This window comes from Homo sapiens, chromosome 6 (assembly GCF_000001405.40).
Source record: "Homo sapiens chromosome 6, GRCh38.p14 Primary Assembly".
NCBI lineage: Eukaryota > Metazoa > Chordata > Mammalia > Primates > Hominidae > Homo > Homo sapiens.
In genome coordinates, this window is record NC_000006.12 from 41301302 (window position 1) to 41322113 (window position 20812).

Below are 20812 nucleotides of genomic sequence, written 5' to 3' on the forward strand. Positions count from 1 at the left end.
AAGATGGATTAAAGACTTAAATGCAAAACCTAAAACTACAAAAACCCTGAAGATAACCTTGGAAATATCATTCTCAATATAGGACCCAGCAAAGACCCAGCATTTTCATGACAAAAATGCCAGAAGCAATTGCAACAAAAACAAAAGTTGACAAATGGGATCTCATTAAACTAAAGAGCTTCTGCCCAGCAAAAGAAACTATCAGCAGAATAAAGAGACAACCTACAGAATGTGAGAAAATATGTGCAAACCACGTACCTGACAAAGATTCAATATCCAGAATCTATAAGGAATTTAAACAAATTTACAAGCAAAAAACAAAGAGCCCCATAAAAAAGTGGGCAAAAGATATGAAAGTGATTACTTTTCAAAAGAAGACATACACATGACCAACAGGCATATGAAAAAACACTCAACATTACTAATCATTAGAGCAATGCAAATCAAAACCACAGTGAGACACCATCTCACACTAGTCAGAATGGCTATTATTAAAAACTCAAAAAATAAAAGATGCTGGAGAGGTTGCAGAGAAAAGAGAATGCTTATGCACTGCTGGTGGGAATGTAAATTAGTTCAGCCATCGTGGAAATGGTTTGGGGATTTCTCAAAGAACTTAAAATAGAATTACCATTCAACTCAGCAATCCCATTATTCGGTATATGCCCCTAAAAATATAAATCACTCTACCACAAAGATGCATGCACACATATGTTCACTGGAGCACTATTCACAATAGCAAAGACATGGAATCAATGCAAATGTCCATCAATGATAGGCTAGATAAAGAAAATGTCATGTATATACATCATGGAATACTATGCAGCCATAAAAAGAACAAGTTGATGTCCTTTGTAGCAACATGGATGGAGATGGAGCCCATCATCCTAAACAAACTAATGGAAAAACAGAAAACCAAATACCTCATGCTCTCACTTTTAAGTGGGAACTAAACATTGAGTACATATGGACACAAAGAAGGGAATAACAGATACCTGGGTACTGTGCTTATTACCTGGGTGATGAAATAATCTGTACACCAAATTCCTGTGGCATGCAATTTACCTATGTAACAAACCTGAACATGTATTTCTGAACCTAAATAAAAGTTACTTTTTAAAAAAGAAATATGGTAATAAAATTAAATCCTTACAGTTTAAAAATACATATATAAAATGCTTCACGAATTTGCATGTCATCTTTGCAAAGGGGCAATGCTAATCCTCTCTGTATCATTCCAATTTTAGTATATGTGCTGCCAAAGTATGCACAGGACTATTAAGTTGAGGTTATTAGGTCATGGGGATCTTCCCTTATGAATGGATTAATGCTGGTATTGGGGAACTGGATTAGTTATTGCAGGAGTGTGTTCCTGACAAAAGGATGGTGATATGGTTTGGCTCTGTGTCCCCACTCAAATCTCATGTTGAATTGTAATACCCAATGTTGTGGGAGAGACCTGGTGGGAGGTGGTTGGATCATGGCAGAGGATTTCCCCTTTGCTGTTCTCATGTTGGTGAGTGAGTTCTCATGAAATACGATGGTTTAAAAGTGTGTGGCACTTCCCCTTTCACTCACTCTGTCTCCTGTTGCCATGCGAAGACGTGCTTGTTTCTTCTTCACCCTTCTGCTACGATTTTAAGTTTCCGGAGGGCTCCCCAGCCATGCCTCCTGTTCAGCCTGCAGAACCAGAGCCAATTACACCTCTTTTTTCCATAAATTACCCAGTCTCCAGTATGTCTTTATAGCAATGTGACAATGAACTAATACAGATGGATTTGGTTATCTCTTCCTCTGGATAGGATGGTTCCTCTCAATCCTTCCTCTTTCTGCCATGGGATGATTCAGAAAGAAGGCCATGATCAGATGTGCCCCCTTAGTCTTGGACTTTTCACCCCCAAAACTATCAGCCAAATAAATTTCTTACCTTTATAAATTTTAAAAAGATTGTTAAAAGAAATTTTTTAAATAACTGAATAAATGGAAAAACACTCCTTGTTCATGGATTATAAGACTTAATATTGCTTAAATGGCAATATTCCCTAACTTGATCTACAGAGTAAATGCATTTCCTATCAAAATTCACTTAGTGTAGAGATTGACAACATGCACTGGCATTAATATAAAAATATAAATCAATGGAATAGAATTTATGGTCTAGAAATAAACCTATACATTTATGGTCAACTAATTTTTGATAGGGGTAACAAGTTAATTCAATGGGGAAAGGATAGTCTTTCAACAGTTGGTTTAGGACAACTACATGTGAACATGCAAAAGAGTAAACTTAGACACCTACTTCACAACATATATAAAATTAACTCAAAGTAGATCAAAGATCTAAATGTAAAAGCTAAAACTATAAAACTCTAGGACAAAAAATACAGGAGTAAATCTTTGTAACCTTGCATTAAGCAACAGTTTCTTAGATATGACACCTAAAGCAACCAAAGAAAGAAAAAGATAAATTGGACTTAATCAAAATTAAAAACTTTTGTGCTGCAAAATTTTACCATCATGAGAGTAAAAGGACAACGCAGAGAATAAAAGAAAATATTTATAAGTCGTATATCTGATAAAGGTCTGGTATCCAAAATATGAAAAAACTCTAACAAACCAACAATAAAAAGACAAATAACCTCATTTGAAAATGGGTTTCCCAAAGAAGTATACAAGTGACCAATAACCATCGTTCTTGAGTCATTCCTATTCAATGAATGTTTAAGGTAAATGTTTAATAACCAGCTCTTTAAAAGATTTCCTGATTTGTAGTGACTGCCAATTTCTGTGGTGTAAATACTCTCACATGGTTGATTTCAAGCTAGCAACATGGCATCACTGGATGTGGAGTTGGAAAGAGAGGCTTGCAAACAATTTTTGTGAGCCAGTGCAAGCTGGCTCCAGCACTTCACTTCTTATAATAATTTTAAATTTCATTTTGGTTATATAAACTCTTCCTGATGCCCATGTTTGTTGATTTTTAATTCAGGAGCATTCATGCTCTATTAGCTAACTAATCTTACTTGTTTTTTGTGACTAGTCCTTACTTCATAGTAGCATTTTGCCACTGAAAGATAGTGAAGTTGGCTCTGCAAGTCCAGATTATGAACTGAGTGGGGAAGAGTGAGCAGTGTACTTTGTAAGCCTTTCATGTCACTTCAGGTCTTTCATGTCACTTCAGGTCCACCTGAAGTGATGACTTAATGCATGTTAATAAGCAGGAATCGCCACTGAACAAACTCATTTTGCATTCACTATTCACAGCAATAGAAATTCTCGTAATGTAAGTGGAATATAACATAAATTTATAAGTGGACTTTCAAAATTGTTGGTTATTAACTTTGACACAACTGCAAATTGGTATTCAAGTTAATGGCAAAGACCAAACCAAACAAAACAAAAAATAGCATATACAATCTTCAAGTGCACTTTCAGTTGTATCCAATTCAACTTTAACTTTACTCTGTCATTTTCTATTGTATCTTGATATGAAAGCATATTAGTTAGATTTCTCCCTTTCATGAGCTTTTTTCTTGCTTGTCAAAAGCATTTTAAAAAATTTTCAAACAGTATATCATATATTACCTTGCCATCCTATATTTTGATTATACTTCTGTTGAAAATATGGTAACTTTAGGGCTGTTCACAAATCTTCAGCCACTTCTCATTCCTGCCCATTTCTTTGCACTGCCTTGCACCCTTTGCAGGTAGGTATGGCCTTGGGATTTGCTTTGGCCAGTGAATTCTGAGCAGAAATACATATCGCTTAGTGCGAGGCTTTAAGAAACATCACAGAATGCCCTGTGTTTCCTTTCTCTCTATGGTGGTTTTCGAAGTTTCTATCAGTGGGATCCCAAAGTGTCTTTGATGCGCAGAGCTTTAGTGGCCCATTTGCATCAGAATTGAGGTATAAGTGAGAAGTAAATTTTCGTTGGCCTAGCCATTGAGATAGGGTGAAGAGTGAGGGGGAAGGTTATTCTTGCAGCACAATCTAGCCCCGTCTAACAAGTACAATAATTAAATCTTGTTCAAATGTTTGATAAGATAATGCCCACAATAGATTTGTTTCATAGGTATGAATAAATTCATAGGTATGAAACTCACAGGAATGATATGAGAACTATGCATATTCTTTTTCATTCTTAGCCCAAATATCTTGGCATTTATTTTACATTGTATTTATCCAGAGTATTCTCCCTGTTAGTATTACCTAACAACATACCAGTAAACTGAAAAAAAAAAATTCTGTTCTAGCCTCAGGGAGAGATTAGGGAGGGTACCTAATAACTTTAGAGAGAATTCCATGTGATAAATGAAAGGGAGAGTATAGACAAGATTACAGCCAGTATAGCTGGGATTACAGCCATGTACCACCACGCCCAGCTAATTTTTGTATTTTTAGTAGAGACGGGGTTTCGCCATGTTGGCCAGGATGTTCTCCAACTCCTGACCTCATGTGATCCGCCCACCTCGGCCTCCCAAAGTGCTGATTACAGGCCTGAGCCACCACACCCAGCCAACAAGACCCAATTATACAGACATCAGCTACTTACACAATAATCAGTTCAATCATGGTACTTTTAAATTATGAAAGAATTCTATCATAAACCCTTAGCCATTTAAGTTTTGTAGGGGGAAAATGCCATTCATTCAACAGTAAGTGCACTATTACAAAAAAAAAAAAAAAAGAAAGCAAAGTTGCTTTTTTTTTTCGAGACAGAGTCTCACTCCGTCACCCAGGCTGGAGTGAGGTGGCAAGGTCTCGGCTCGCTGCAACCTCCGCCTTTTTGGCTCAAGCGATTCTCGTGCCTCAGCCTCCTGTGAGTAGCTGGGATTACAGGCGCTCCCCACCACACCCGGCTAATTTTTTGTGTGTTTTTAGTAGAGACGGGGTTTCACCACGTTGGCCAGGCTGGTCTTGAACTCCTGACCTCAAGCATTCCGCCCACCTCGGCATTCCAAAGTGCTGGGATTACAGGTGTGAGTCACCACGCCCGGCCTACACAAGGTTACTTTTTAAAGACAAAGGTAAACAAAAAATTAGTTTTAAAATTTCCAAAGTCAGATTTTTTTTTTTTTTTTTTTTTGTCCTAAAACAAAACCAACCAGCAAAACGCTCAGGTCGCAACCGTTTATAAATCCAAAGTCACCACCAGAGGGAGCAACTCACCTGGTTTATCTCTGATTTCGCTCCTGTAATTTCCTAAGGCCTGATTACCTGGGAGGAGATCTGCGGGGACAGTAGTTTTTAGACACCTTATGCTCAGATCTCAATATTCAAAAATTTTATCCTTGGAATACCTTCCACACTAAAATAATTTGTGCCTAAAATAATTTCCTTTTTTTCTTTCTTAAATAGCAGCTGGAGTTTGCAAAGAGCTCTTCCCACAGAAACCCAAGGTTGCCTTCCTGCCTACCCGAATCTTGGTGGACATACAGGGTTTATGATCTAGGGAAGCCCCAAGGATGTGAGATTCCTCTGTAAATGGGTCATAGGACTTGTTCTGATTCCGTTAGAATTAGCAGGCTGGTATAACAGAAAACTGCAGTAAAAGTGGTTTAAGCAAAAGAGTAGTTTGTTACCTCTCACTTAAAAGTTCAGTGATAGGCTCCTCAGGGCTGGCATTGAAGCATCAGGGACTTTGGCTCCTTCTGTCTGTCCCACCGTCTCAGTTCATGACTTCCAAAATGACTGCTGGAGCTCCAGTCATCACATTTGCTTTCCAGCAGCAAGAAAGTTTTCTCCTCACCACATCCTTAGCTTCAATGGGTCTTCACCTCCTCTCTGGGGGTGACAGGGCTTGTTATCCCTACCTTAGTGGTTTGATGCTTTTGTTTAATAGAGGATAAGAGTCTATTTTTCCACTCTCTTTCTCCATGTTTTCACCACTGAGGGACCATCTCTCATTGCTCAATCCACCTTCAGTCTTTCTCATAAGCACCTGGTGGAGGTCCCCGGGAAAGAGATTAAAAGTGACTGTGATCATTCCTTTTGTGTCCTGGGATCCCAGAAGTACTATACGGTCATGCTGGCCTGCACCTGACCTTTAACAATTTGTTAAAGTCTTAGCTGAATTGTTCTTGACACTTGTTTGGTATTCCATAGCTCTTCCTCCTTTCTGTGAGACAGGTGAGCTGGTGCTCATATCCCAACTCTCTTTGGAGTGGCCTTGGATTCTAGATGATTTGGGTGCCTTGCAACTGCAGCTCTCTAATAGGGTCAGGAAAAGTTATGGCTTTGCAGTTTACCTGGCTTTGTCTTCTTGTGCGAATGGGAGCTGCACTCATTTGAGCTTCCTACATCTGGTACATAAACTGAACTTCAGAGGCCGTATGTGATGATGTAGTGGCTGAGAATTTTCCGGAGGTTTGAAAAGTCATTAAACCACAAATACAGATCATCATAAACCAAGCAATATAAGCAAAAAACAAAAATCCTCATCGTGGCATATTGTAGAGAAATTGTAGAATACAAAGCAAAGAGGAAGCAGCCAATCATTTATGAAGAAATTTAAATAGCAGACTTGTCAACTGAAACAACACAAGCCAGAAGGTGGTGAAATCATATCACCAAAATGCTTAGGAAAAATCACTGTTAAACTAAAATTGTGTACCTGACAAAACTCTGAATAGTGAGAGTTGTATTAGGGTTAGGTTCATCTATAAAGAACAGAAAAACTCCAAATAACAGGGCTTAAAACTGCTTCAAGTAAAAATCCAGAGGTGTGTTGTCTAAGAACGAATGGGGTCCATGCTCCATGAAGTTCTCAGGGCCTCAGGTTTCCTCCAGCTCAAGATGTGGTTCTTTTTTTTTTTTTTTCCAGCTTTTCCAGTTTTATTTAAACACAAAACATGAACTGTGTACTCATTGTCTTCGCTGCACAGCTTGGCATTGGGGTTGGTGACTCTGATGGCCAGCTGAGCAGCTCTTTCCACAATGGCTTTGTGGTCCTTGGAGGAAACATTGTGAGCGATCTCAGCACAGTAAGATTTGCTGCGCATCAGCAGTACTTCCAGCTCCTTGACGTTGTGGACCAGGAAATTCCAGAAGCCACTTGGCAGCATGTGCTTTGTTTTTTTGTTGCCCCATAACCAACGTTGGGCATCAAGATCTGGCCCTTGAACCTTCTACGAACCCTGTTGTCAGTACCTCCGGGTTTCCGCCAGTTAGGCTTAATTTGACGTATGGGTCAGACTGGTGCCATATGAACTTCTTGGTTCGCTTTTTGATGATCTTGGGCTTCACAAGGGGCCTGAGGGCAGCCGTGATGCCGAGGAAGAGATGGCTGCCACCTCCATAGGCAGCACCGAGGAAGAGAGAGGGGCAAGATGTGGTTCTTCTACCACCAAGGCAATGTTCACAATTTAAATACGTCTTTTCTTTTAGGAAAAACAGTGGTCCTAGAAGATGAAAGTAATTTTTTTCTGGTAAAATAAAAATTTGGCCTATGTCAGCAATGTGACATGTTTCATGAAATGCTATTCATCTGAAGAATCCACGTGTCTGGAAGCCATGCCTCAAGTCTAGAATGACCAAGGCTTAAATTTACATCCAGTGGTGGTGGGAGTGGGACCAGGGCCTCTTCTCTCTTTTTCCTTTAGACTGTAGGACATCTGAAAGAATATCAAAGCAGTTGTCTACTAGTCTTCCCAGGCTTGGAGACACTGCTTCAGTCACCATCAGTTACTTCTATCATTCCAAAGTGTGCACTAAGAATTCCCCTCTATATGCTCCTAATTGTTTTGCTCCATATTTCACAGCTGCCCAAGCAAGTCATGCTCAGAGACCATTTGATTTCAGGAGCTTCTACTGCTCCCGGGACTGAGGACTGACTGCCCAGGGCTTTCCAGAGCCCCCACCACCAAGTCCATTCTGAGTTAAGGGTTAGGAATACTCTGAGCCATTGTTGTGATTGGTCTTCTCAGAGAGATCTCTGGACTGTCACCAGGCACCCTGAGGACACAGGAGAGAGTGACCAGAGTATTGATCACTGGTCATAGGAAGACGGATTTCCTCTTATTGTCCTTGTTCATGGACCCCTGGGCTGAAAGAAAGGAACAGAGACAGAGCAGGAAAGAGGAAGATCAGGAAGCAGGAACAGAGTCAGAGGAAAATTGCAGGCTTGATGGGAAGGGGCAGGCTTGGGGGGCTCTAGAGTTATTGATTTTTCAGCTTGATCAACTTTTACTTGTTAGGATGGAGTGACAATTTTCAAGCTCCTTACTTGCCAGACTGGGAGCTGGAAATCCTATTGTTTTTTACATGCATTTAACTTTAATCAAGTTACCATAACACCTCACTGACTCCAAAATAAGTTTCTATCTCAGCATGGCATTCTTTCTCCACGGACTGACCCACCCACCACTCAACCTTATCACTTCTTATGCTTTTCTAAGAAAATAGCATGGGACCTACAAAAGAGTAAAAAACTGTCAAGATTTTGAAGAATGCTCTATCCATTCCAGCCTTGCAGCCTCAAACATGCAAAAGTCAGCCACACGTGTTTGTTCTGTTGTGTGATTTAACCCTACATGTAGAAATGGAAATGGAAGAGAATATGACATGAGAAAACCAAAGGACATAGCAGTATTATATGTTCCTAAATGAAGCTGAGTTTATGTGTGTGTGTGCAGGAATGTGCCTTCACGTATAGCTCACAGGTATGCATGTGCATTTGTGTACCTATGTGTGTGCGTGTATGTGGGTTAGCATGCATGTGTATATGTGAGTGTGTCTGAGTATTCTTACCCCCAATGCTCCAAACATAACATTGATTAAAGTCCACAGTGAGTGAGCTGAGTTTGTGGGGTCCTCTGTAAAACAGAAGGAAAAATCCATTTTCAACGAGAGAGGGATGTTTGTGAGCTCCCCAAGAACACGCTGGTGGTCCTAGGGCAGCAGGATGGTAACCTCCAGGGTTCTTGACAACAACGGACCAGGGAAGCCAATAAAGGATCTGTCAGTGGTCTCCAGGGCCTGCAGGCAGTGCCTCTGGCAGGCCATGCTCTCTGGTCACTGGGAAGATGGACCCTTGAGAAGGTCACAGCCATCCTCTAGGCTCAGCTCCACCTTGGTGAGTGTCCCATAAGGTCAAGCCACCCTCACGGGATAGAATATGAGCTCTCCAAGCCAATTTCCAAGACCCTTGGGCTCTCCTTTTCTCAGGTACCTCCAGTCCCAGGAGTGGTGGGGGGAAGCAGCAGACCCCAGTATTCTGGCCTGGGAGTCACATAGCCTCTAGAGAGCTCACCAGAGCAGAGTAGTTTAGCAAAAGTCAACTTCCCATTCCCTTCAGGATCAGTTTGCCTATTGAGAAATGTTTCTGGGAAACCTATTTACCAAGTGGAATGGTTTCATACAAAATACTACGGGTATAGCTCTTCTAAAGATTTTTTCAATCCCTTAGGTATCTTTTTCTATTGGATATAATTTTAAGGAGTGCCCACAAATACATTTTGAACTAGTTTTTACTTATTTTTCTACTTACACTAAGTACTTATCCAACTTTTAGTATAACATATGCAAGTTATCAGACTTCATTAACCCTTGTTGAGTGGTCTAGCCTTTTTTGGGGTTAAAAAAATTATTTTCTGGGCCAGGTACAGTGAGTCATACCTGTATCCCAGCACTTTGGGAGGCCGAGGCAGGAGGATCACTTGAGCTCAGGAATTTGAGGCCAGCCTGGGCAACATAGGGAGACTCCATCTTTACAAAAAAAAAAATTAAAAATTAGTCAAGCAAGGTGACACATGCCTGTAGTCCCAGCTACTCAGGAGGCTGAGGTGGGAGGATCAGCTGAACCCAGAAAGTCAAGGCTGCAGTGAACTGTGATTGTGCCACTGCACTCCAGCCTGGGCAACAAAGCAAGACCCTGTCTCAAAAAATATATATTATTTTCTGTATGACATGGCTGTATTAAAAATAAATGAATAAAATGAGGAAAGAAATATATAGATTCATTTACACTTCTACCGTAGTTTTCATGACACCTAAATCACAGTGCCATTGCTGTGGAGTCCCTTGCTTGCATTTATAATCCAACTCGGCCTCTTATGAGCTGCCTGAGTTGAGTGATTTACAAAGCTTCTCTAAGTCTCCATTTCTCAGTTCTAAGTGTTTAGTGGCTCCCTCATTGGGTGTTTTGAAGATTAAATGAACTAACCCTTTCAAAGCACTTACAGCAGAGCCTGGTACACACTAAATAAATACTCAACTAATTCCAATTTAGGAAATACTTATTACCTACTGCTATACATCAAGCACTGTTCTAGGACTGGGGATATGGGAATACAAGGTAAACGAAGACCCTGTCCTCATAGAGCTTCCATTCTCATGGAAGGATGGAGACAAAAAAGTGAGCCATACGTCACATGGGGACAACTGCTACAGAGGGAAAGGGTGGTGGAGAGAGAGAAGGTGCACAGGGTTTGTGCTACAGCAACTCAGATAAGCTGGAACTGCATTTCTGAGGATCCACTTACCTCTATGGCTCTGTGTTGGGTTTGCAAGAGAAACTTTCATGAGATTTGGAAGGCAGAGGTGAAGTGGCAGGTGCGATGTTCTGAAGGTTAGTGTAGGTGCTAGGGTCTCTCAGGTGCATTGTTGCTCAACTCACCTTGTTGACATGGGCAGCACCTGCCTGTAGCTCCTCCTACTCAGCCTCCCTGAGTCCTGCCCAGCACATGTGCAGCTTTGCAGCCAAGCAGCAGAAAAGACAGAAATGAAGGCAGAGAGGCAGAGCTACAAGGTGCTCACAAATACCTATTTTCTTCTCTTCCTAGATGCTCAGGTAGACCCATCTTAGCCCATGCAGTGAGGGCAGAAGTGATGGGCACTGTTCCAGACCTGGCCTATAAACACACCCATGTGCCATACTTTCTCTTTTCTCATCCACTCCTGGAGGCAAAGAACTCTGAAGACCTGGAGGTCAGCAGAGCCACAGGACAGAAAGCCTGGGCCCCTGAATGGTCCTGCGGAGTCACCATCCATTAGACGAGTAAGAAATCAACTTTTACTCTCTGAGATTTGGAACTATACTGTTAAAGGAGCTAAGATTATCTTAGTTAAGATAGGCAGAAATCAAATAAATAGAGAAATATATGTGTGAAAGAGAGAAGAGGGAGTGAAGAAGAAACAAAATAAAATACTGCCCTTGAAAAAAAAAAAAAGAACAAGATATACAAATCTGTAGAAAGACTAATCAAGAGACAAGTTTAAAAGTGCAAAGAGAAAATAAAGAGAACAGGCCAGGCACATTGGCTCACGCCTGTAATCCCAGCACTTTGGGAGGCCGAGGTGGGTGGATCACTTGAGGTCAGGAATTTGAGACCAGCCTGGCCAACATGGTGAAACCCTGTCGCTACTAAAAACACAAAAAATCAGCCAGGCCTGGTGATGCACGCCTGCAATCCCAGCTACTCAGGAGGCTGAGGTGGGAGAATTGCTTGAACCCAAGAGACAGGGGAGGTTACAGTGAGCCAAGATTGCGCCACTGCACTCCAGCCTAGGCAACAGAGTGAGACTCTGTCTCAAAAGAAAAAAAGAAAAGAAAAGAGAACAAATGAGAAATACCTGAACACCCAAAAGAGACTTTCACAATAACAATACTATGAATAATCATACACTAATAAATTGAATAACTTAAATAAAATGGATACATTTCTGGAAGATATAAAATATTAAAATTGGTGTTGAGATTAAAAGCTTGACTAGAGCAACAACAATTCAAAAATCAACATCCAGTCATATAACCATCTCAGCTGCTAGAGAGGTGAGGGGAGGGCAACTTCAGGCACAGAAGAATTTTCAAGGTATAGATATTTCTTAATTCATACAATTTATTCCAGGAAATAGAAAAGAGGGGAGAAGCTGCTCATATAATTTCTGTGGCTAGAACAATATTAATACCAAAACCACACAAGGACCAAATAAGAATAATGGGTTATCAGCCCATTTTTATTTATGATCATAGATTCTGTAATCTAAGATCATCGTTCAGATTCTCAGGGAAAGATGGCAGATGGAACATACACCTTTATTTCTGTTCGCTCCTAAAACCCACAAAAATGAACATAAAGAAATGCAGGAAACATAGGAACGAGGGAAACTAGAAGGTAAAATAGCAAGAAAATTTGGGGAGCTGAAAAAAATATATAAGTAAGTGGGAAATGACTTAGAAGTGAGAAAACAGAACCTTTCATCAGAGTTGAGGAAGGCAGAAGTCAAGTCTTATTTACACAACAGTATTGCCAAGATGGCTGAGAAAGTGGAGGTGGTTTAGGGGAGTCCGATTAAGAAGAAATGGTAGAAAGTTGTTTAAGAAGCAATGAGGAACCCAGATCCCCTTGCCACTTTCTGTAGATGAGCGACCTTGACCCACCTTGGCAGACAACTGGGAATGAATGCCTTAGAGAGGTTGCAAAGAAGGCTGGGTTTCTGTGTGTGGTAGGGAAGGGGTGGGCAATAGGTATAGGTGAGGATGGTGACAATGTCCTGAAAACCATGGGATTATGTGAAGAACATGTACCAGAAGCTGAGAAACACTCCAGCCCTCTTCTCCTATTTGGATTCCAGAAAGTTGGCAGCCAGATCTTCTTCCTCCAGACAAGAGATGGGGTGAGTCTTCCCTGGGGATCCTGAGCAGCCCAAGAGAGAAGGCTGAATGATATTGACAAGGCACTTCCTCAAGCAAATGGCCAAGGAGTCACCCTCCTGTGAAACTCCCAGGGCACCAGCCCCACTGTGGGCTCACAGCATCCAATTATCTTTAGAATTTTGTTACCCAGGCCTGAGAAAAAGCTCTCAAGTGAAAGAGAAGAAAGAAACTAAACAGAGAATAGTGAAGGCAACTGGGAAGAAACAGAGACCACCTAAGGAACCATAAATAAAAACAGAAAACTTTTTCTCCAAGGGCTGTTTCCAAAACAGAGGGAGGCAGAGAGAGAATGAGAACAACAGAGAAATGGGAGAGAAAAAAAAAGAAAAAGACAACTGATCCAGGAGGTGAATGCTTGAATAAAAGGAGTTCTAGAAAGACAGAACATAGAAAACAGAGAGGGGAAAATCATGCATGAACTAATTCAAGAAATTTTCCTGTGAATTTCTAGATCGAAAAGGCCACTCACTGTGCGGAGCAAAGGGATGGAAATAGACACACTCCAAGGCTCATCCCTGTGACATTCCAGGACACCGAGAACAAAAAGAAAACGCTGATAAAGTGAAGACAACAGATCACATATTGCCATAGTTATCATAATTGCTCCTGACTTTTCAACAACAATAGGAGCAAGAAGGTAACATAGCAATGCCTTCAAAATCCTGAGGACAAATTGTTTCCAACTCAGAATTTTTTATATCAGTCAAACTGTCATGGTAAAACAGGCATTTTTAAATATAAAAGTTGTCAAAATGTATTTTCCATTCCCCCTTTCTCCCGTAGTTACTCAAGGATGGGTTCCACCAGTACAAAGGAGTAAACAAAGATCCAAGAATCAAGAAAACGTTGTAGAGGAGACAAAGAGAAGCCCCAGAAACATGAGGAAGAGACAGCTGTGTACCAACTGGTGGAGGCAGTGCATCCATACAGGGCAAAAAAAGGCTGCAGGCATGACTTTTTAGGAAGATGCTCAACAAAATACTTGCTGAGAAAAAAAAAAACAAAACTTAGAAATGCTGGTTCCAAAACATGTGCTTTTGTTTGTTTGTTTTTTCTTGTTCTGACTTTTAATTCATTACACCACTGCTCTCCAAGAAAAGGCTATCAATTATTCCCTTCCAACAATGCATAAGAATGACTTTTTCCCTACTTCTCCAGGACAGAATATAATTATCATTTATTTTAATCTTTTTTGAACTGTTAAAAAGATAAACTGAGGCACAGTAAAATTTTAAAGAGTTTTGGTGAGTTTTTTTTAGCATGAACAATTTATGAACTGAGCAGCTCCGAACCAGAAATAGTTTGGGAGCTCCACTGAGGAACACAAAGAGGAGACTTTTATAAGACAGACACAGAAGTAAAGCAAAGTATTTAATTGGTTACTGTTATACAATTGCTTTTTTTGGTCTCTCAACTTGGAAAGCCCCTCGTTATCTAAGTTTGTATAAATAGTAACTTCTGATTGGTTGAGCTTAAGTTCTGCTTTTAAAAATATATATATAGATATAGATATATATAGGCATTCACAAGAAATAGCTCAAGTTAAGTTTGGTTATGTTTGCAAATCAAGCAAGGTTTAGGTCACTTACAAATCATAACTTCTTTTGTCCCCTCTGGGATTCTTCAGGTCTGGTCTCCATTTTAATTTACTTTAACAATCCCACCGCGTTGGGTCACCCTCTCAGCAAGCTAAGAAGAAGGTGGTAGCATTCCTCTCAGTTACCACTAGTGAAATAGTCACTGGAACAAAGAGTCATGTAATCTTATCCTCAACAGTTGTATTGGGATATAAGATTACATGGCATCATTACCTGCATCATGGGCTTCAGTGGTAGGGTTGTTGAGTTCTTCAAGTCAATTAATGATGATGGCAATCATTTGATGTGTGAGTGCCTTCTGGAAAGCTTTGAAATCCTTGAGAGGATAAGATATAGTAGGATGGTAAACAAAATGACTACAGAGAGAATAATAGCCAAGGATTTTTAAATTCCCTGGAGCACAGATTCCCAGGAGCCAATATTTCACCAATAAAATAAATCAGTGGAGGAGGCAACACCTGTCTGATAAAAGACATATTTGTTCCTTAAGATCCTTTAAATTGGGCTCAACAATTTCTAATTTATTAATATAGAAACAATATTTTTTTTTACAAATAAGAGCCTCCTTGTTAAGTTGCTAAGGTATCAAGGACTTCTATTTTGGAGTACTATTGAGGTTAAATTGTTTATTTCAGATAGTATTGCTTGAAGGGAATTCAAGGTAGCATTCTATAAAAACAAAAGAAAAAAAAAAGGTTAACATTAGGAACAAATTATGATCTTAGTCTTTAAGTCCAGAGAGCAGCCTGTCAAGATTTCTAAATTTGAGTTTGAAGCATTTTTAGATGATGGAATGAGGATGGCAATTGCAACCTGATGGATTTTCCTGGCTTGCAGTTTGAATGTCTCTGGAAATATCATCAGGTGTTCCAGTGAATTCTCCAAGTGACCCACACAGCAGCAGCATGAAAATTTTCCATACATGGTCTGTTGTAGTAATTTTTCTGAATTTAAAGTCATCCAATTTCAGCTGGCAGGGCTTCGGAAAAAAGCAGTTTTAGTTTCTAGTGAAACTAGAAAATGTTAGGATTCAATCCAATTTACAAGGACATAACAAAGACCAGAATTTGATGATGGGTGCTATAGTTTTCTATTGAAATACAATCTTTTTTATGGTCATTCCAAATTTTTCCAAAAATAATCATGGTTAACTCTTCTTTTTGTGCAAAATCAGTAGTCTCATTAAACTTGATCTGATTATTTACATAAGTGCAACAAGAAAAGTGATTCTATGTATGCATATTTTTAAAATACATCATTTTGTCAAAGTTTTGATAATATCCAAGGGGCTTTATTGACTTTGTATAAGTCAATCTTAGTTATTTGTTCATTTTATTGTTTGTTTTACTATTTGTTAACAAGGAATCTCAGATTAGACCTTTAAAAACCTCTCTAGGCTAGGAGGCCAAGTTAAGGACTTACCCAATTATGTCTTGTTATAAGAACAGATTCTTATTGAACCTATGCAAATACCTATATTGCCATGAAAATAAGAATATTCAATAAGTGCTTCCAAATTATGGGGTGATCAGGTAGGGAGGAAAAAAACGTTTTCTTTTTGTTTACAAAAGTATATTTTATCAAATTGTTTTAAGTTATAGAAAAAAGTTTTCCTAAATCTAGAAAGCAAGACATTAAAGAACCAGCAATGTTTCAAACGAAAAGTTATAAAAATTATAATTATTCTCATCAGTTAATTTAGTCTCACATAATTAATTTTTGTTTTGCTTGATCTTGGGTTAGCAGATTTATAAATACATTACTTTTCCATTAGAGGTCTGGAAATTCTTACCTAGCCTTATAGTATGAGCTTAAAATTATCAGAAACCTGTACTCATCAGCCTTTATCATGAATCTCTTACAATTCTGTGTCATGCAACTGACAAGGGAGTTTGGTTGCTTTGGTAACATACGACATTTTAACATAATAATTAAAATTATGGATGATAACATTATACTAGTACATATCAGATTTCTAGGAATTTGACATAATTTCTGGAACACTCATCAATAACAAACATAACTTAAAGAAGGTTTAGCATCACCCATTATTTGACATTGCTTCTCATGCAATTTAACATATCAAATAAGCCTCACTAGTTTAACATGTCTGTTTTTACAAGAAGAGAAGATAAATTCTTTTGAGATATTCCAGGGACCCTTTTGGACACTCCCAAAGTTGGTTTGAGGTCAAAAAGACCTATATGGCATGGCCAGTTCTAGGGGTAAGGTTGTGTCCATGCCAGTGTGTGGCATATGGCGATGTTCAGCTAGCATGAGTCTGAATTAATTACCACACATAGGAGCCAGAGTAAAGTGTTCCCAGGCCATCTACCCCCAACCAATGTCCCCACTTATTACTGCAACCTCTTACATCTTCTATAACATGCTCCAAAAAGTACGCACAACAGTAATCCCCCAAATGCCAAATACCACATTATTTCACGTTGAACAGTCTTGTTAGTGCATGAGTTCGTGTGCAGCACACGTGGTATTGTACACAAATTATATTTCCCTTCTACACTGTAATGAACATGGAGTGTGATGTAAATAACCATGGAATACTGAGTTAAAGCTAGAATTTTATCTAAATTAGACCTGAGTTTGTCGTGCCCCCAGGTGCCTGACAGAACTAAACAGTGAGAACCCCAGAACCCTTTCCAATGGGGAACGTCAGAGGCACCACAGCCACGGACCCTCCACTCTCTCCTGCACTCATTGCACCTTGACTGTCTTCCTTGGTGCTTGCAGACGTTTGTCATAGTGGATTTTTTTAATCAGATCGTGAATTTTGGGCAAACTTTCTACAGTTCGTGGGAGTAAATGTTTGAATGGTTTGAGTTCAGACCGTGAGACAGATCTGCATTTTCCATTCTGAAGAGGTTACACATGAGCTAGCAGATGGGATCGAATTTCAATTATACGGAAACAAGGTAGAAAAGAAGGGACCTCAGGCAAACGAGTAAAAGCAAGTTTGCAACTTAGAGTTTACAGTGGCTGGTCACAGGAGTATCTGACCCTGGAATTCCCAAACTTCTCCGCACCTTAGAATTACCTGAGGAATATTTTTAAAATGCCAAAGCCCAGGCCACACCCGGACCAATTAAATTAGGCGCACTGGGGTGGAATCCGGCATCTGCATTTCTGAAGCTCCCTAGATGATCCCAGCATGCAGAGGAGTCTGAGAATGACTAGTCTAATTTCATTTCCACAATATGCTTGTGAAGCGGTCGCCACTATCCCCTGTGATTCCCTTAAGGTTCCCCCCAGTGAATTTGTGGCATCAGGAGCCCAGCCCAGCACTCCTTCCACTGCACGTGCCGCTGTCCTGGAGGACAGGAAGCAGAGCCAGGGTGCTGCGTACGTGGCTCTTCAGAGGGCTCTTCAGTGTGCCTCCAAGGGCGCACAGCCGAGTTGAGCCGTCTGATTACGCTCCGGGGTGATGGACAGGCTGCCCCTGCCCCCTGCTGGCCAGAGGCTGCTATTGCAGCCAGCGTGCACACGCGTGCGCGCATCTTCAGCCACCTGCAGTTTCTCTGATTCTTCCCTGGTCTCCTCTCTGCAGTGTCGCCAGAACACCTTCGCACACTCTATTCTTTGTGGCCCTTCTGACTTTCTCTTTGCCGTGTGACAGGGGAGTCCTCCCTAACCAGCAGACAGTGAAGGTGGAGTCCACGTTTCTCGGCCTCCACGCATAGCGAGTCTCAGACCCCGCAAGGCTGCAGACAGTGCTGTGTAAGTGGGCCTTCAGTCCTGTGGGGAGCCCAGGTTGAATCCCCAGGAATAGAAGCTCCAGAGGAAGGTCCCCAATCAGTCCGTGGTCCCCAATCCTGAGAAGGGTTGCCTTTTCTGGGAGGAGCCTGGGTCTCATCGCTATGCGGGAACAGGGCTCTGGGAGGTGTCCAGGAAATGTGAGACCGGAAGTCGCCGTCAGGGAACGGAGTAGTCTGTGGCCCTGTTAGAGGAAACAGCCCTGGGGGGTCCCCAATTGCTTCTAGAATCTATTCTGTTTACTCTTCTAGGGAATACCTGTAACTTCTTTCCTTGGAACCAAGATTTAGCACATGAGAAGAATCTGGAAGAAGCTGAGCCCACAAGGGTCCCAGGAGGGCATTCTACCTGCCCACTGACCGTCTCAGCATGCTACACCCTCGAGGGAACTCAGGTTCCCTGTCTGTAAAATGCAGATTCTCTCCTATGAAATCTCTGAGGTGAATAGCTCTGGATAAACTTCAGTGGCCTTCTTTTAGATGTTTTTTGTTTTTGTTTTTTGTGGGTTTTTTTTCCCCTTGGGTCTTCCTGCCTGGGGCCCTCTGCCCTGGGTCTCCTGCAGAGGTTCCCACCAGCTCAGGAAAACACTCAAGGGTGAGTGTCTCAGAGCTCAATAGGCCTGAGTTCCTTTCCCAATACCTCCTACCACTCCCTGGACATACACACTAGCACATACATGCACACATGTGTGTGCAATCAAGCTAATCAGAGTGGGGCCTTGATTGAGTCAGAGCTCTTTGCACTCCTCCACATGTCCTCTACAGTGTAGCACTAATTCTGTGTCCTCCGGGGTCAGGGCCAGGTGCAGCAGGTGCAACCCACATTGCAGGTGAAACCTGTGAGTGAAGGAGCCTGGTGGGGGCTCTTGCTGTCATCTAGGTGGAAGGAGATGAAGATCAGGCAGAGGAGGCCGAAAAAGATCTGGAGGGTTTGGTGACAAAGGAAAAGATCTGGAGGGTCTGTGACAATGGATTTGAAAGTTCTTTGTCACTTTCAAGTTCTACACAAATTTGGGACAGACATCATATGATTCTAGCACCATTGTCTCAGATTTCATAGCTGTCAAAATTTTACAATATTCTACAAGAAGCAAATAAAATTACCTTGCATCTTTAAGTTTAGAATTTTTCTTTATATTTTTTTTCCATTTTGATCATTGTTAGGTTTGAGCCCCAGCCGAGGTCCAAGGGAGCAGGTGGACAGGAGGGCAGGGAGCTGGAAGAATACTCAAGAGACAGCAGGTAGATGAGACATGGCTTTATTCAGCAGCTCACTCACACTGTCGGTGCTGCATTTATGCACCTCACAAACAATAGTGGCTCCAAGCCAGGCGATGAGCCTCTCCATGTTATGGCTACATAGCTGTGTTTACATTATACACCAGACTGTGTGCCTGTGCTACAGTCCCGCTGAGTCATGCGGGATGTTTACCTCAGCCTATGCCTATGTGGCTGCAGCTCAGCCATGTTCCTTACAATCATCATAAGGGTTTAAAGCATTGTTTGGGGAAACCCAGGCAATCTTTTTTTTTTTTTTTAGACAAAATCTCACTCTGTCACCCAGGCTAGAGTGCAGTGGTACAATCTCAGCTCACTGCAACCTCTGCCTTGTGGGTTCAAGTGATTCTCCCGCCTCAGCCTCCCAAGTAGCTGGGATTACAGGCATGCACCACCATGCCCAGCTAATTTTTGTATTTTTAGTAGAGACGGGGTTTCACCATGTTGATCAGGCTGGTCTCGAACCTCTGACCTCTGGTGATCCACCCGCCTCGGCCTCCCAAAGTGCTGGGATTACAGGTGTGAGCCACTGCGCCCAGCCCCAGGTAATCATTTTTTGAGCTGAACTTGCCCTTTACTTTGACTCTGCAAGTGTGCTACACTTGTAGCTCCTTGGCAATGAGGTTGTGAAAACAAGTCCAACACACACAGGATAAGGATCCATCATTCTTGCATATTTAGCTTAATACCAGGTGAGGCTCTCCACTCCTCTCTCATGCTCATTTCCCTCTCCAGGCTGCCATCTGCTAAGGTATGCGGTCCCCTCTAGGCCCAGGTCACGGAGCCCGTGCTTCACCTGCTGGTGTCTCCCCTCACCCAGCCTCCAGACCCCACCAGGCCAGCCGTGACTGTCACCACCTGATCATCTTCACTCTTAGACACAAGAAAAAACTTCCAGGTTTTGCATTTCAGGAGTTATGACTTTGGGATCTCTATCCCTTGCTTAAGAAACCCATGAATTTATTTTTTATAATTTTTACCATGCCAGTGTGGGTGGGAGAGTAAAATTCCCCACCTCCCAAGGACATGTTTCAGGAAATAAGGAAACGATACCAGCTATTATCAGATCCTGACATTTCACTGGGGCCCTGGCCTGATCTTGGGGACAGGAGACAGGTGCACACCAGCCCAGGCCTTAAGTCCACTCTTCTTACTTCATTCAACTCCTCTCTTTCTTCTCCTCCAGCTCAGAGAATCTTTATTTGGTCTAGGGTGTTGAGGGTAAGACTAGAAGAGCTGTTTCGGTTCGCACACATATGGGAAAATTTCTACTCAATGTGTTGAGCTACAATTTACTTAAATACATATATCCATATATCAATCATCATTATCAAGATACAGAATGTTTGCATTACACCAGGAAGTTCTTTCACATGCCTTTACAATTAATACACTTCTCCCAAATGTCTTTCAACACGTGAACAGATAAACAGATAGCAGCACATCACACGATGGTATATTACTCAGCAGTAAAAAGGAATGGTCTATGATACACCAACAACATGAATTA

At 41.3% G+C, this 20812-nt stretch overlaps 2 pseudogenes, besides 4 other annotated features; both read right to left on the reverse strand.

The window, feature by feature from the left end:
• Positions 1165 to 1271, reverse strand: RNU6-643P (RNA, U6 small nuclear 643, pseudogene; annotated as a pseudogene).
• Positions 3584 to 4141: an enhancer, noted in NCBI's record as "NANOG hESC enhancer chr6:41272623-41273180 (GRCh37/hg19 assembly coordinates)". NCBI's record gives its function as "activates a minimal SCP1, AML or CMV promoter by ChIP-STARR-seq in naive H9 embryonic stem cells {active_cell/tissue: H9 hESC(naive)}" and the evidence as "EXISTENCE:reporter gene assay evidence [ECO:0000049][PMID:30033119]".
• Positions 4609 to 5808: an enhancer, noted in NCBI's record as "P300/CBP strongly-dependent group 1 enhancer chr6:41273648-41274847 (GRCh37/hg19 assembly coordinates)". NCBI's record gives its function as "activates an origin of replication core promoter dependent on BRD2, BRD4, P300/CBP, MED14 and CDK7 cofactors, with strong dependence on P300/CBP, by STARR-seq in HCT116 cells {active_cell/tissue: HCT116}" and the evidence as "EXISTENCE:reporter gene assay evidence [ECO:0000049][PMID:35650434]".
• On the reverse strand, positions 6822 to 7325 carry RPL32P15 (ribosomal protein L32 pseudogene 15; annotated as a pseudogene).
• Positions 17621 to 17690: a silencer, noted in NCBI's record as "silent region_17176". NCBI's record gives its function as "represses an Ori minimal core promoter by ATAC-STARR-seq in GM12878 lymphoblastoid cells {active_cell/tissue: GM12878}" and the evidence as "EXISTENCE:reporter gene assay evidence [ECO:0000049][PMID:35858748]".
• Positions 17899 to 18440: an enhancer, noted in NCBI's record as "H3K4me1 hESC enhancer chr6:41286938-41287479 (GRCh37/hg19 assembly coordinates)". NCBI's record gives its function as "activates a minimal SCP1, AML or CMV promoter by ChIP-STARR-seq in primed H9 embryonic stem cells {active_cell/tissue: H9 hESC(primed)}" and the evidence as "EXISTENCE:reporter gene assay evidence [ECO:0000049][PMID:30033119]".